This window comes from Homo sapiens, chromosome 3 (genome assembly GCF_000001405.40).
Source record: "Homo sapiens chromosome 3, GRCh38.p14 Primary Assembly".
NCBI lineage: Eukaryota > Metazoa > Chordata > Mammalia > Primates > Hominidae > Homo > Homo sapiens.
In genome coordinates, this window is record NC_000003.12 from 190,372,511 (window position 1) to 190,387,363 (window position 14,853).

Sequence of the window (14,853 nt, forward strand, 5' to 3'; positions counted from 1 at the left end):
GCACACACCTGTAGTTCCAGCTACTTTGGAGGCTGAGGTGGGAGGATCAATTGAGCCTAAGAGTTTGAGGCTGCAGTGAGCTGTGAATGTCCTACTACCCTCCAGCCTTGGTGAAAGAGCAAGACTAGGCCTCTAACTAAAAATAAATACATAAATGAGTTAAACAAAAATGAGCTAGTATTTGTGAACCTGTGTAATGTGGCCCTTTGTCCCTAGCAATTTCATTCAAATTAGCTTTCCTTCAATCCTCTCCTTAAAGGAAAACATAAAAGCAGTCATTTGTCAAAGGCCTTCTTTAAGTATCAAGGTCTTCCCAATACGAGGGGCTTGTACCTGTATCTGATCTGCTTTTGTGAGCCTGAATCTTTAGCTCCATGGAGCCCAGTTCCTGTTTCCTGACTATTGACCCCAGCCATTTAACCCCTCATCTTTTTCTTCCTTCTAGCATTTCTGCCTGTGTCGGAATCCTTACTGTACATGCTGATAATCTGCCTGACTCTTCAAAGGGCAGCCCCTTTGTTTGTTCTGCCTTCCAGTCCCTGACATAGCCTACCTGCTCTGTCTCTCAGGTGTTCTTTATCTGACATTTGTAGCATTTAGGAAATCCAATTTAGTATAAGAATTTTAACAGCTGAGAAGTCCCTTCCCTTTCTCCTTATACTTTGAAAATGAGGCTCAAGGCAGTGATATGATTTTTCTAACATAATAAATATCTGTTTCAGCAGGGGTTGCAGGGTTTCTAGAGCCTTAGTCCATTGACTCACCCAATCTGCTCCTTGTCCCTCATTCATCCTCAGGGAGTCACTGGGCCTATTAGCCAGCAAATTCTTACTTTACACCTACGACCACAGCAGCATTTTATGAACAGTTTCATTAATCATACAAGCTAAGAACATATAATTTTATGAGTAACTCATTTAGAACAAATACATTTGTTCTCTGATTCTCAATCTTCTTGAAAAGCTGCAAAGAAATTTTGACTTAATGCTTTTTTAACATAAAGGCTGTAAGAAAGACTATTCTTTACTAAACTTGTTAAGTATAGTTTGAGTGGTTAGGCCTCAAATATAGTTATAATGCATTGCATTTAACTAATTTATATTGCCTTAAATAATGCTGTTGTGCATTATTTAAGATAAGATTATTTAATCTATCAAGACAGGTTGTGAGCTCTTAGAGAACAGGTGTCAGTCATCACTGATTATCCAATAGCTAGTCCAGCGCTCAGGACGCATTTTTATTGCATGAAGAAATTCTTCAGAGCTAGTCAATGATGTAGGAAATATAGATGATAGTGGTATATATTTTAAATTGCCTATAATGTGCCCATATTAAAAAAAAAAAAAGAAAACAGATCAGTATTGTTTTGGTGGTCTGGCAAGAGACCTGAGAGATCCTTATACATTTCCCTTGCAAGTAAAAGACTCATCTTACTTGTTAGGAAACTTCTGAATTCCCCTTTTTCTCCATTTGGATGGAAGAAACTTCTCAGTGGCTGAAGTTTAGCCCCAAATGCTTATATTTTCTTCTGAATGATAAAAAAAAATGAGGAGGAATTTTAAGCAGCAAAATTTTAGCTCGTTGGGTTTTATGTCATATAAACATAGAACTCAGTCATAGAAAGGTTTTGGAGAGATCAAAATGCAAGTAAAAATCTCCAGATTCCAAGAATCCAGAATAGTCTACCATATGAGTAATGGAATCATCAATCTGTGGAGTCATTGGTTTTCTCTATTTTCCTTCCAGCCCTGAAAAACATTGTGTGTGTGTGTGTGTGTGTGTGTGTGTGTGTGTGTGTGTGTGGTTTTCCCTGAAGCAGAGTCAGAGACCCTTAATTTGCACAGGGCCAAATGTGTAAGTTATCAACAAGTTCCATGAATTGCTTTTGACCAGAAAAAGTTTACAAAGGATGCCAAAGTTCATAAAAGATGCCATTTAAGGGAGTGGCAAGCTAAGTGTTTGCTTCCCTTTCCTGCCCTAACACCCTTATAACAATCCATTCTTTATCACTCTGCAGGACTGAACTCGTTGTTGGCCACCTGTTTGGAAAACCATTCTCTTGTGGTTGGATCTAACACATACAGCATGTGAAGGTCAGCATGTTAAGTTTTCAGTTTTTTCCCACATCTAGACATTAGCTTTCTAGATAGATCCAGGCATATCATTTATCAATCTTACTTCTTCAGTTTTCCATCATTTATTTTCAAAAAGAACAACAACACTTGTTAGTTAAAATAAACAAAAAAGAAAGTTTGTTTTTAAAAAGACCAAGGCTACTAAACCTAAAACAATATTTCAAAAATTCTACATGTATTGTGTGCCGATTTTTATTACTATTTTTGGTCTAGTTTTAAGTATTACTAATGAGAATATAAGCAGAGAGTAAATAGGACTTGATATCTTAAAAATAAAGGTAGAGAATAGGGAACAGTTAAATAAGTTTACATGGCATTAGATTTACAAGTATCTTGGATTTATATCTATACTATATTTCCTTATAAAAAGAGGCATATACTTATAAAACTTTTAAAGGTACCTTGTGTGTTATTGCAAGGAATTATCTTTTTATTTGTCTATCTCCTGCACTTCATCCCTCATTTTTATTTATTCAGAAGGGATGTTTAAACTCCTGTTGGTGAGATGCACTTTAGGAGAAGTGATAAGATAACCCTACTTTTTTCTTTCATATATAATTCCTTAAGGTCAAAGAAATAATCTTTGTTTAATAACTTACTGACAGCATTTTTGCAAATGTTAACTGACCAAGGGGATTTAGGCTGTTTCATTTTGTTTTCCAACTTGGTATTTAATTTTGCTTCAGCCTCTAGGCTCTTTGGAATGCCAAGGCTGCAAGTGTAGAATGGCTACAGATCTAGAGAAAGCTATTGGCCATTGCAGGAACTCAGATGAAAAAAGATCACATGCTGGAATTAAGAGGAAGTACCTCATACATGACTATGGGTCATGCAGGAAGAAACCAATTTGTTTTATGGTTGATCCTAGTTCCAGTTGAGAGATTTAGACATTGCTACACAAAGCAGATAGCAGGGGGTTAAAAAACAGGTTGTTATGGTACTACTTGAAATTTTAGATGTAAGTAAAACCAGATATTCATTAATGCATTTGCTTGTTCTTCACTTATCTCTTTATTAAACATTTACTGTTGATCCCAGTTTGTTTCCTTTGAGTCTCCCCTCTATCCAGCGAGGTTTTTGTGGGTTAATGCAAAATGAGTGCCTCACAGGTTTTCCATTTTTAGAAGATTCGGCTTCTGCAACTAAATTGTTACTTTCCTCTGGTCATCTTCTTTCACTGATTCTTGTTCATCTCTTCACCCTTGCCTCTCAGTTAAACATTCACACCCCTCCCCCCACAAAAAAACACCCTGAGTTGTCACCTGGCTTCAAACGTATGTCTCTGCTGTGCCAGTATCTTGATCTCAGATCACTTCTGGCAGAATAATTCCAGTAACCCCCTCCATTTTTGCCAAGCAGCACAATTATTCTCTTGTACTTTTTGTTTGTTTTAGTGGCAGGTACTACTAGGTATAGCTTGGAACTGAAAGAACAATAGGGTTGGATGTTTGAGGCACAATTCTCAAAGGAATCCACATCATTGACTTCAGAATATGTTGTGCTGAAACTATCAATTACAGATTTATTATTAAGAATCCTGTACCAATTTGAGCACATAAGACTTTCCCTAGCATTTGTGCAGGAGAACCGCATTTCTGAGGAGTATTAAATGGTCATAAGGATTGTATTCTGAGAATATTAATGATATGAAAGATTAGAAAATTAAAGAAATATAAAATTTTGATAATTCAACAACAGAAATGAAAGGTATGTTGATGATTACTGAAGAAGTCACAAAATTGAAAAAAAAATCTTAGTCTCCGACCTTCAGGAGCTGAGAACTTGGTGGGAGAGATGCACAAACACATAAATATAAGTAAAACTATAAAGTGTTATGAGAGAAAAATCAACAAAAGCATCTTCCATAGGAATATACAGCAAGGAGAGAGTAATTTTAACCAAAAGAGTCTGAAAAAGTTACGGGAATATAAAGGGGTGTACATGGTCATGTTGTAGGCAGAGGAAACAATTTGAGTAAATAAGCTAATGATTTGCAAACCGAATGTATTCGTTTAGGTATCCAAACTTAATCACTGATCTAATGCTGCCATGAGAGAAATGTAAGGCATTTCTCTGCCCATAAAGAATTCCCATCCTGGTAAGGAGAAGAGACACAGAGAATTACAGTTTGATAAGTGATGTAACAGGAAGAGGTAGACTCAGAGAAGCTATCTCAGGCAGTTCTTTCTCAGAATCTCCTGGTAATTCAATTTTAAGAAATGGCAATGCCTGTAAATCACTATTTATCTGGGCATCTGATGTTTAATAGCAATTCCCAGGTGACTCTGGTGATCAAACAGGCTTTAGAATCAACTAACTATCGGATGATGAAACCTGAGTCTAGACAGAGGCAGAGAAGCTAGTTAAGTGCTGAAGGAGTGAGGAAAGGAGAAGGACAGAAATCTTCCAGGCAACGGGAAGAGCCTTTTTTGGATGCCAGAGAAAATGTTACTGGGTTCAAAGGAACTGTATGCATTTCAGAACCGCAAGAAAACAGGGTACATATTAGGGATGCATAAGAAGTGAATCTAGAGAGGAAAAGAAGAACCAGCTTGGGAAAGATCTGCATATTGTGCTGCATACTTTGCAGTTTTTTCTGCTATTGATGAGAATCTTTAAAAAGATAGGAATGTGGTAAAGGAAGCACCAAGCAAATGCTGCTGCTAATGCATTTGATATCCAAATAACTTTTTTTTTCACTTCTGTTTAAGTTCTTGGGTTGAAACATTTTACTAAAAATGGAGGTCACATGGTCATCATCCTTCTATCATAAGAGTTTGTACTCTTGGGTTCCATTTGGGTCTCCGTTAGTTTCATCTCTGCAAATAAGTTTAGTTGAGCTTTGTCCCTGGTAAAACAAAACAAAACAAAGCAAAACAACTCTGTATTTTGAGATTCTCTGTTTAAAGTCTCCTTAGATGTGAAAATAAGTAACAGTTACTGGTTTGTATTCAATGTATGTTATTAATCACTATGAAAAGCTCTAAAATCTCTGTTTTCTGATTAGTGATCTTTGGTTGCCAAAAAATTCCAGTGAAATATAGTTCTTTAAGCCCTTGCTAAGAGCAAGATGTGTGTGTAAATTCTGCGAGTGATAAGAGGGTGAGCGGGCACCCTCTCTGCCCTTATGAATCTTACAGGTAGAGCTAAAAGTGTAAAGAAGGTTTGAGTCTTAGGTTTCTCGTTAACAGCTGTCATCCTGGGAAAATACTTGCCTGCAACCTTATTTATTCATCTGTAAAAGGAATTCCTGAACAAGAGTATCTCCAAACTCCTTTCTAGTTTTAACTAGGAGTTTCCAGAAATCTAGCAGAGAAAGATATGGGGATAACAAAGTAGAAGTCTATATTGCATAGTGTTATTTAGGACCATGTTCTCTGGAGTCAGTCAAACCTGGGTTTAAATCCTGGCTCCATTATTTACTTACTGGAAAAACTGGGATAAGTTACCACCCCAATCATCTGTTTCCTTGTCCATTAAACACATGCTTATAATAGTGACTACCTCTTATATAATTATTATTACAACAAGCAAAGAGCTAATAATAATTCAAAGAAAAGGTCACGTATGAATGAGGGCTCACAATGCACTTACAAGAAGACAGCAATTGAGAAGATCCTTGAAGATGAAGGAGGGTCTCAGTAGGTAGAATCAGCAGACGAGAGATAAGAGACAAAAATGAGAGAAGTTCTTTCTAAAGGAGGGTAAAACTCACAAGGTTTTCACACATGTAGAGAACAGGATATACAGTACAATAGAACCTTCTACCTTTCATGAGTGATGCTTCCCTGAGGGCTGATCACTCATGATCACTCATGATTGAAACTACTTCACTGATAAATTCAAGGGAATGAAGTGACTTGCTTCATCGTTTCAGCAGAGAGCTTTCATGAAACCAGGATGGCAGTCCAAATATCATGGGTGCCAGGCCCTGATTCCATCCTATTCAATGGTAGATGAGTTCTTACGTATGAGTCCTGCTGTCGGATCTTGATGAGTAAGGGTTTGGACAAGTAACAGGTGAAATGGAAACTTGTTCCTGAATAAGTGCCAGTTTTGAGTAGGCCTCACTCTCCTTGGGAGGACTTCCATCTCCCTGACTCATCTACATTGGCTTTTGTAATTTCCACTGGACGTTTGCCTGTGTTCTACTTTGCTTGTCTTGGATCCAAACTCCAATTCTGCCACTTTCTAGCTGTGTCAGGTTGAATAAGTCACTTAATATATAGTCCTCATTTTCGTCATCTATAAAATGGTGATATGATGCCTTTCTAATTATGTCTTGTAGTACAAAATAAAAATAAATACAAATGTTTATATACTCCAATTGAATATGATTAAAATGAGGAATAATGATAGTTATTTCCATTAATTCTTCAAAAACTGGGCTATAGACCTTTGAAAATTTGAGGCGTAAGCAAAGAAACGTACTTGATTTGTTGTTGTTGAGCCTCAGTTACATAGATTGGCTTTCTATAATGGTCAGATCAACTGAACAATTGTCAAAGTTTCACCTCCTTCATTTCAATACAATATAAGCTAAAAAATTCTGAAGTGTACCTTGGACTGAAACCAAGTTTCTATAATTCCAGTCCATTTTTCTATTAAAATGATTAGCCTCTTGAATGTAAAATGTATTCCAAAATAAACTACACTATTACAGGGTCACCTTAGAAGGATCTCTTTAGAATGCTCACAGTAAAATATCTCATCTGATAGAAAGATAGCAAAAATCTATCGAGAGCCTAAATACTATTGGATACCCTCCCCCAACTAGAATATCTTGTTCACTGATGAATTTCTGGTGCCTAGCACAATGTATGGCACATAGAATTCATTTGTTCATTTATTAATTCACTCAACATATATGTATTAAAACCCAGAATTTAATAAAGCTAGTCACACAATCTTTATTCTCATTGGGCTTCAACAAACAAACAAACAAACAACATCATCATGTGGTCATCTACAATGATACATTCACTGTACTTGGTATTGCTGTGCATGTACAAGCACAGGCAAAAGAAAGCATCCCTGCTCCTAAGTTGTTTATAAGATGCTTCTCACGAACACATTTCTTAATACAGTGATGCACATTCACAAGTCTTTGTCTTTGTTCAAGATGTTTCCCTTTAGGAACACTCCCTTCTTTTCTAAGAAATTCTTATTATTTAAGAACTACATCAACCATTATCTTTTCCATGAAGCTTTTTGTAATGAGTTTCCAGAGGCATTAATCATTTCCTCATTTATGGTCCTATAACATTTTGTGGAAACATGTATTTCAACATTGTAGACCTAGATTGATCTATCTATGTCTATCAACTCTGTCTATCTATCTATCTATCTATCTATCTATCTATCTATCTAAACTTCTATTTGCCTGCAAGCTTCTTGAGTGGCATTCTATTAATCTATAGTTACTAAGTGGCTGACCTAAGCCTGACATATTCTCTACTTGGTGAATCCCATTCCTTCCTTTCTTCCTTCCTTCCTTTTCTTCCTTCCCTCCCTTCCTTCCTTCCTCCCTTCCTTCCTTTTCTTCCTTCCCTCCCTTCCTTCCTTCCTCCCTTCCTTCCTTTTCTTCCTTCCCTCCCTTCCTTCCTTCCTTTCTTCCTTCCTTCCTTCTGTTTTTTGGTTATAGACTAATAAACATCATCTAGAGGTATCAAATATATAGAAAGCTTAATTGTGACATACTAAACTATCCAGTTACTGATTCTAAGTCCAACAAAAAGAGAGGAGAGTAACTGAAGATATCAATTTGGGCTTCACAAAGTTAATATTTATTCCTGAGGGATGGTTAGGATTATGATAAATGGTAGGGAAAATAAAAAAGCATTTTAGGCAGAAGAAATTGCATAAATATGTTGAGAGACTGAAGTATTCATGGGTTAAGAAGAAAGCATACAATTGACCAATGAGATCTAATTAAACTAAAGGGCTTTTGCACAACAAAAGAAACTATCAACAGAGTAAACAGACAACCTACAGAATGGGAGAAAATTTTTACAATTTATTATGCATCTAACAAAGGTTGAGAATTGCTTGAACCCAGGAGGCAGAGGTTGCAGTGGTCTGAGATCGCGCCATTGCACTCCAGCCTGGGCGACAAGAGTAAAACTCCATCTAAAAAAATAAATAAATAAAAATAAATAAATTAGTAAAATTTTTAGTTGTGTATCAAGAAATCTGGACAATCAAAGCCTGAAGTTGCTTCCCCTTATTGAGAAGAAGGAAATGGAAATGGTTCTATAAAATTAACTGATGCAAGGCAGGGTTCCCGGTACCAGAGCTAAATAGGACAGCATGGAAGTTATTCAGATGAACAATGAGTGTGAGTACAAGTTGCACCCTAAGGAATACTAAGTATAAAAGATGGGGAACCCAAAGTTAATTCTCAAGTCCAAAGGTCAGGACTGGAATACAAATGACAAATAAACTACAAAGGCTGCAAATTCAGGAAGCCATTAGAAGATAGGGAGGTGACGCCGGTGCAGTGCAAACAGCGAGAAAAAGAGTAAAGGGAGAGAACTCTTGGTAATTTCCTAAAATACAATTGATTAGAACTTGTTTTTATTAGTTTCCCCATACCTGGTTGGTGGGAGTTCACTCTGGTTTAAAAGTGTAAGTAGATGGAAGTTTAAGTTTACAGGTAGCAGTAAAAAAAGATGCTACCTAATCTGTTGCTTGATCACTGTTACTCTCTTGTCTAAAACCTTCAGTTACTCTCAAAGATAAGTTCAAATTTATCCATGCTCCTTCATCTGGAACTGAAGATCTTCCACAAGGTTACCATCACCTGCCACTCCAGCTTCATTTTCTTATGCTGACCTAAACATATGCTAAACTCTGGACATACCAAAGTACTCACTCACTGCTTCTTAATTTAATACTTACTCCTACTGCCTCTAGGCCCTTGATAATATTATTTCTATCCCTGATGTGATTTAGCACCAGTGTATTGGAATAAAATAGAAAGTTAGTCATCTAACTTTCTATTTTATTGTGTTAGGTAGGGACTGCTTTTGTATATTTGTCACTCCAGAATGTTTAAGTGAGAACAGATGTGCTGAGTTAAGAACACACCAGTTAAGCTAACTGGACTGGGAAGGTTGGCATGAGTGCAGTGATAAGGACTCAACCTAACAGTTTATAGAGAGTATCCTACATTTCCTGGCAATTTCAGTGTTTCCTTGCCCAACATGGATTAAGTACACACTGAAATCTTACCATTTGCATAGTCTTTTTGATTTACAAAGAAGAGCTGACATTGACTTCATGAGAGAATACTTAAATATTTGGAGAGAAAACAAGAAGGAAATACAAAATAATGAAAGGATATTAATAATGACCAATTGAATGTGTTTGAGTCAAAAGAAAAAAAAAAGCCTCAACTTGTGAGATTAAGCCCAATTCAGACAGATTCATTTTATGTCCTATTTCATAATGAACATAGGATATATGTGGAAGGGTGTAGGGCATTCAAGAGAAAGGTTTTATGCCAGAATGACTTCATGAGTTGCCTACTAACTCAAAGGGAGTAGAATGTTAACCTTTCACATTAGGTTTATTCCAACCTGGTTCACTCAAAACACCCCCCATTGCTTAATCATGCTGTACCATGATGAACATCTTGTTTTTCCAGGTGAAGTAAGTTACAGAATGAGTAACAACATATGCCTTGCTACTGAATTTGAGGCTGATTTTTGATGAATGATTCACTGAGTAATTGCTGAGGTTTGGCTTAAGTAAAACTTGAATTCTATGAAAGAAAACAGATGCATAAACAGCATACTATTTTCAGGGCCTCATGCTTGCCCAAGCATTCTCCACATTGGAGATGTCAATTATTCCCATCATGAACTGATTCATGAATTTTGTAGGTAACATTTGTACCAATGGTGATCCTACCACTATTTGAACCCCCACCAAACCAGACCATTTCCCTTTCAGTCAGTTCTAACTGTTGGAAAGTCCCTTCTTAATTGAGCATAATTCTGCTTCTCTGTGCTTTTACAATATTTTCTAGTTATATTCTCTGAAGCCTGCCAGAAAGATCATAATTCCTTTGGGCCATCCACCCATTATTTAAAACCCACTGTCACGTTTGCTCTGTTCCCTTTTTGAAAACAATTAAAATACTCTTTTTGTCCCAATTTCCTTCAGTCATGCTTCATGTGAGATAGTTGCCAGATAGTTGCCGATCTCCTCATTAATCTCACTAACTGGAACCTTCTCTAGTTGGGCTTTATCTTAAATAGTGGTACCCAAGAGTAAACACAACAAATCCAGGTGTGGGCTGCCCGTAATGAACACTAGACTTCCAGTGCAACATCACATAAGCTAGTGTAATAGGATTTTAAATTAGAATCATTTCTGACTCAGTTTTTACTGAATCCACTAGACAATAAAGACCAAGTTCCAAAATGAAACAAGAGACCTATGCCGGAGTTGCAAAAATGGTGTCTGAGAACCAGTTTTGCAGCCCCTAGTGGACCAGCTATCTCTCTCCCTTTCAAAACAAACAAACAAACAAATAAACTTAACCCCAAGAAAGGAGTTAGAGTTTAGGAGATAATTTTTGGAGGGAGCTATTGATATGTACTGAGTACCACTTTTATGTCACCACGGAGGGGGCAGACACTGGGAGTTCTTGAATCTCACTTTAAGCCTAAAGAACAAGGCTTCAGTTCATCTGCTCTGAACACTTGGTGTTTGCTCCCTGGATCTAGAGAAACACGGTAAACCTGTGCACTTCTCCAGCTAAGAAATCTAAGGAACAAAAGTTCTAGCAGACACATTGCCTACATGATGGAAGATGACTGCATGATGGAGGAGTGGCTATAAAGAGATTTGGCCTATGTACAGGGGTACAGATACTCATATCACTGGAAGGAAGCGGTATCTTTGTGCTTTGAAATGACTAAAATACATTATATTACCTGAAACATTACCTGAAAATGACATAAATGTCATAGAACTTGCCCTATATTTTATTCAAGGGTCAGGGGAAGAATAGGCCCAAACCAAATGGATTTGAAAGCACCATAGGAGACAAAAATGAAATTGTTTTATGACTACACTTTTTCTTTCCTTTGTTTTCAACTTAGTAAGTTGTTTTATATATAGATATAGATATACATACACACACATACATGTGTGTACACACAAACATACATACATATGTATATGCATGGCACATATATAAAACAGCAAACTTATAAAAATCATACTAACTACAATTTATTGCTTATTTATTGAGTTCTATGCACTTCATTAAGACCTTTACAAACGTTATTCATTTTTCACAGCCATTTTATGGGACAAAATTCATAATTCTCATTTTATTGACAAGAAGGCAGCCTCAGAAATGTTAACTAGCTTGCTCAAGATCTGTCATATATAAATGGGCTTAGCCTAAACTCGAGTCAGCCTGACTATGAGGTCCAAGCTTTTAACCACCGCTTTTTTTATATTAGTTATAGCTAGCATGGCCTTTCAGAACAGCAACTGATTTTATTGTTTAGATTTTTCCAATATGCACTGGAAATTTCAAAGGGAGTTAGAAGACTATTTATAGGATATGGTATAAGTCAGTTTACTCCTTCTAATAACTCTTATTATCCTAATAAATATAGAGGGAACATTTTGTGACATTAATGGAAACAACAGAACTAACACAAAAATATGCTGTTCTTGACACAAGAGCTTGCTGTTCTGTTTAACTGAAAATGCAAGGCTGCTTCCACCTGCAGACCAAAAGGACAACTGCAATACTTCCAGTTCTACAATTACTTCCTTTAATAGACCAACAGCCACGGTGCTAGATTAAGGGTGTCACTCAACTGATCGCCAGGTGGCTCTAAAGCCTCATCCAGGAGTAGTGCAAGCACTGGGTGAGTAGGAACATGGTGCATAATGAATTGACCAAACTGTTGGTCTTAGAGATCTTGCAAAATCAATAGCCCTGGAGCTGCAAAGATGATTAGGACACTTTTGCCAGCCTAGTATCCATCCTGGAGGACCCTGAATGTTTCAGAAGGGGAAAGTCCAATATTACTCCCTCTTCTGTAAAATGTGGGGGCTCTGAGAATTAAATTATTACACATTTGCTGAGAGCCTACCATATGCCAGGTAGAATTTTAAGCATGTGGGATGCACTGGTGAACGAAAGATGTCTGTCTTCACAGAGCTTAGATGAGATAATATATCTGAAAATATTTTGTAAACCTTATTGAGCAACACACAGTAATAACTTTTCTTCATGTTTATAATAAATTGGAAAACACATCATATTTCTAACTAATATGCCTATATACTCTTATTGGGAGTGGTATTATAGCTTAAGACTGTTGTCAGAATTACCTGAATGGAGTTCTTTACTTCCTGCTTCTGGTCCACTCACTGAAGAGTAAACCTCTCAAGGACTAGGATGAGTTCTTCCAACCGTTTATTTTCTCTGTGTCCCAAGAGAAAGTACTAGAGTCAGAGTACACTGTTCATAAATGTGTGCTGGATGGAATGGAATTAAACTATAAAAGAGTTGATAAACCAAAATGTTGAAGCCTAGGGAGGGTCAGAATGCAAAAGAGATGTGTCTATATAGATTGGTGAGCAGTTTATTCTGCATCTGTGCCCTCCATCCTCACAACACCCTACACATTTCTTAGAAGTGCACTCACATCCCATCCATGAAGTGTTTACTGCTCTATCAGTTTGCATGACTCTCCTTTTTGTATCTCCTATTACATTATGGCCTCACTCACAGAAATTCACATGCAAGCCTGAATGTTTTATGTTATTCTCTAAGAGTAGTAAACTTAAATTCAGGAACAATTCTATAGCCACCTGAATAATTCCCCACTCCCTATCACATACAATGTTCAGTGACCATTAGGAGCGAATGAATGCTATAGTCTAGATTTTTTTTTTTGTGAAAGAATCTATGATTTCCAGAGATATGTATGCACATGTGTGTGTTTGCATATGAGAATGCATATGCTTAGCATTTTTTGGTCTTTATTTCTTTCCATTAAGTTCTGATATTTGGATTTGGGACCTATTGGTGCTAGTTAGGGAAGAGTTTGTAGCAAAGATGGAATTCTGATACCCTCTTTTCTAAAACTTTGTCTGTGATTTGTAGTATATAACTCTTAAAAAATTGTTTTTCTTTTGTTGTTCTAAACTCATCTCTCAAAGTATGGCCATCTGTTTCAAAATCAGAATTTTATACAAAACACATGTAAAATATGAATTCCTGGCTTCCACTCCCAATTTCCTGAATCCAAATGTCTGGGAGTGGAATTCCTGGGTTTGCATTTATAACAAGTGGCCTTACAGAGTCCAGTGTACACTCAGGTTGAAGAACTACTGCCTTGGAGTGCACTGTTAGCAGGTAAAGTACACTGTGAAAAGTCCCTGTGTGAAATGTCAGCAACAAGTCCAGGACTTTTCCTGCAAAGGGCATGTGCTTTTGGAATTGGTTTGCTCTCCCAGATCAGCAGAGTAAATCTTAATAGCATTTCAGATTTTAGGGCACAGGGAAAGATTCTCTGTGACTCACCAAAGCAGCATGTTTGTATTCCGTGGGCAATGACATTCTTTGAATGAGCACTTAAAAAACAGGTATTTTTTTTCCAACTGTTAAACAAAATAAGTAAAATAAAAGCATCTGTAATGTACCTCGCAGATAGTTATAACGATCGCTAATGTGTACAGTAATCACCCCTTCTCCTTGAGGAATATGTTCAAAGACCCTCAGTGGATGTCAGAAACGAAGGACAGTACTGGATCCTACACACACTATACGCAACAGTAGGTCAGATCACCGAGGCAGCTATTAAGTGACTAAGGGGTGGGTAGTGCATACAATGTGGAAATGCTGGCCAAAGGGATGATTCATATCCCATGTGAAGTGGGATGGCTTGAGATTTCATCACGCTATTCAGAACAGTGTTCAATTTACCACTGATGAATTGTTTATCTATGAAATTTCCCATGTAATTTTTGCAGACCATGATTAACCACTGGTAACTGAAGCCTCAAAAGGGAAATTCTGGATAGCAGGGGTGGTACTGTAGACCCTATGTATAGAAATAATTAAGCTTATATTCCACCTATGGTTTTCCATGCAGCTTTTACATTTAAATTTACGTTTTATATACTTGAATAAAATGAATTAAAATTAGAAAAAACAAAGTTTAGCCACAAAAAGTTTATTATTGTAATATATTTTGAAAAATGGTTTATCAATACTGATTTTAGCCTTTTATACTGTATATTATGATCAAATAATTTTCAAATGGAAAAAAGTAATCCTTTTATAAGCTGTTGGTAAAATAAGAATCTTAGTAGCTGATTCATGCCAGAGTAATTACCTCTTTCTGGCCTTTTCTCTGCTCCTTTCTTTCTCTCCCTCCCAATTTCTTTCTCTCACTCTGTCTCCCCTTTGACATTCTCTCCTACATTAAGAATCACCACTTTGTTTTTACTGTTCTCATTCAAAATTTTTATTTTAGTATATAGAAGTCTACCTGATGAAGAGAAAATGTTGATATATGTGCTTTTTAAAGCATATTAAAGAGTATTGGTTATGGAATTTGTAGACCCATTAAGGATACCTATTCAGATACAGATAAAATTCCAGTTGCCCCAGTTACATATTAAAAACTTTTTTTTACAAAAAAGAAACACACTTTCTTCCTAATATAACAGT

General features: G+C 36.6%; 1 protein-coding gene across 3 annotated transcripts in view, besides 2 other annotated features; it reads left to right on the forward strand.

The window, feature by feature from the left end:
- Positions 1-14,853, forward strand: part of CLDN16 (claudin 16) — a 121,778-nt gene that overhangs the window by 82,150 nt on the left and 24,775 nt on the right. For all 3 annotated transcript variants that reach the window (NM_001378492.1, NM_001378493.1, XM_047447333.1), the window contains one exon: positions 2,018-2,093. The gene's annotated coding sequence lies outside the window, so the exon portion shown is untranslated. The remainder of the gene's footprint in view (positions 1-2,017; positions 2,094-14,853) is intronic.
- Positions 11,790-12,084: a silencer, noted in NCBI's record as "tiled region #3521; K562 Repressive non-DNase unmatched - State 13:Ctcf". NCBI's record gives its function as "represses a minimal TATA promoter and a strong SV40 promoter by Sharpr-MPRA in K562 cells {active_cell/tissue: K562}" and the evidence as "EXISTENCE:reporter gene assay evidence [ECO:0000049][PMID:27701403]".
- Positions 13,910-14,204: an enhancer, noted in NCBI's record as "tiled region #14389; K562 Activating non-DNase unmatched - State 24:Quies, and HepG2 Activating DNase unmatched - State 9:DNaseU". NCBI's record gives its function as "activates a minimal TATA promoter and a strong SV40 promoter by Sharpr-MPRA in K562 cells, with weaker activity in HepG2 cells {active_cell/tissue: K562 | HepG2}" and the evidence as "EXISTENCE:reporter gene assay evidence [ECO:0000049][PMID:27701403]".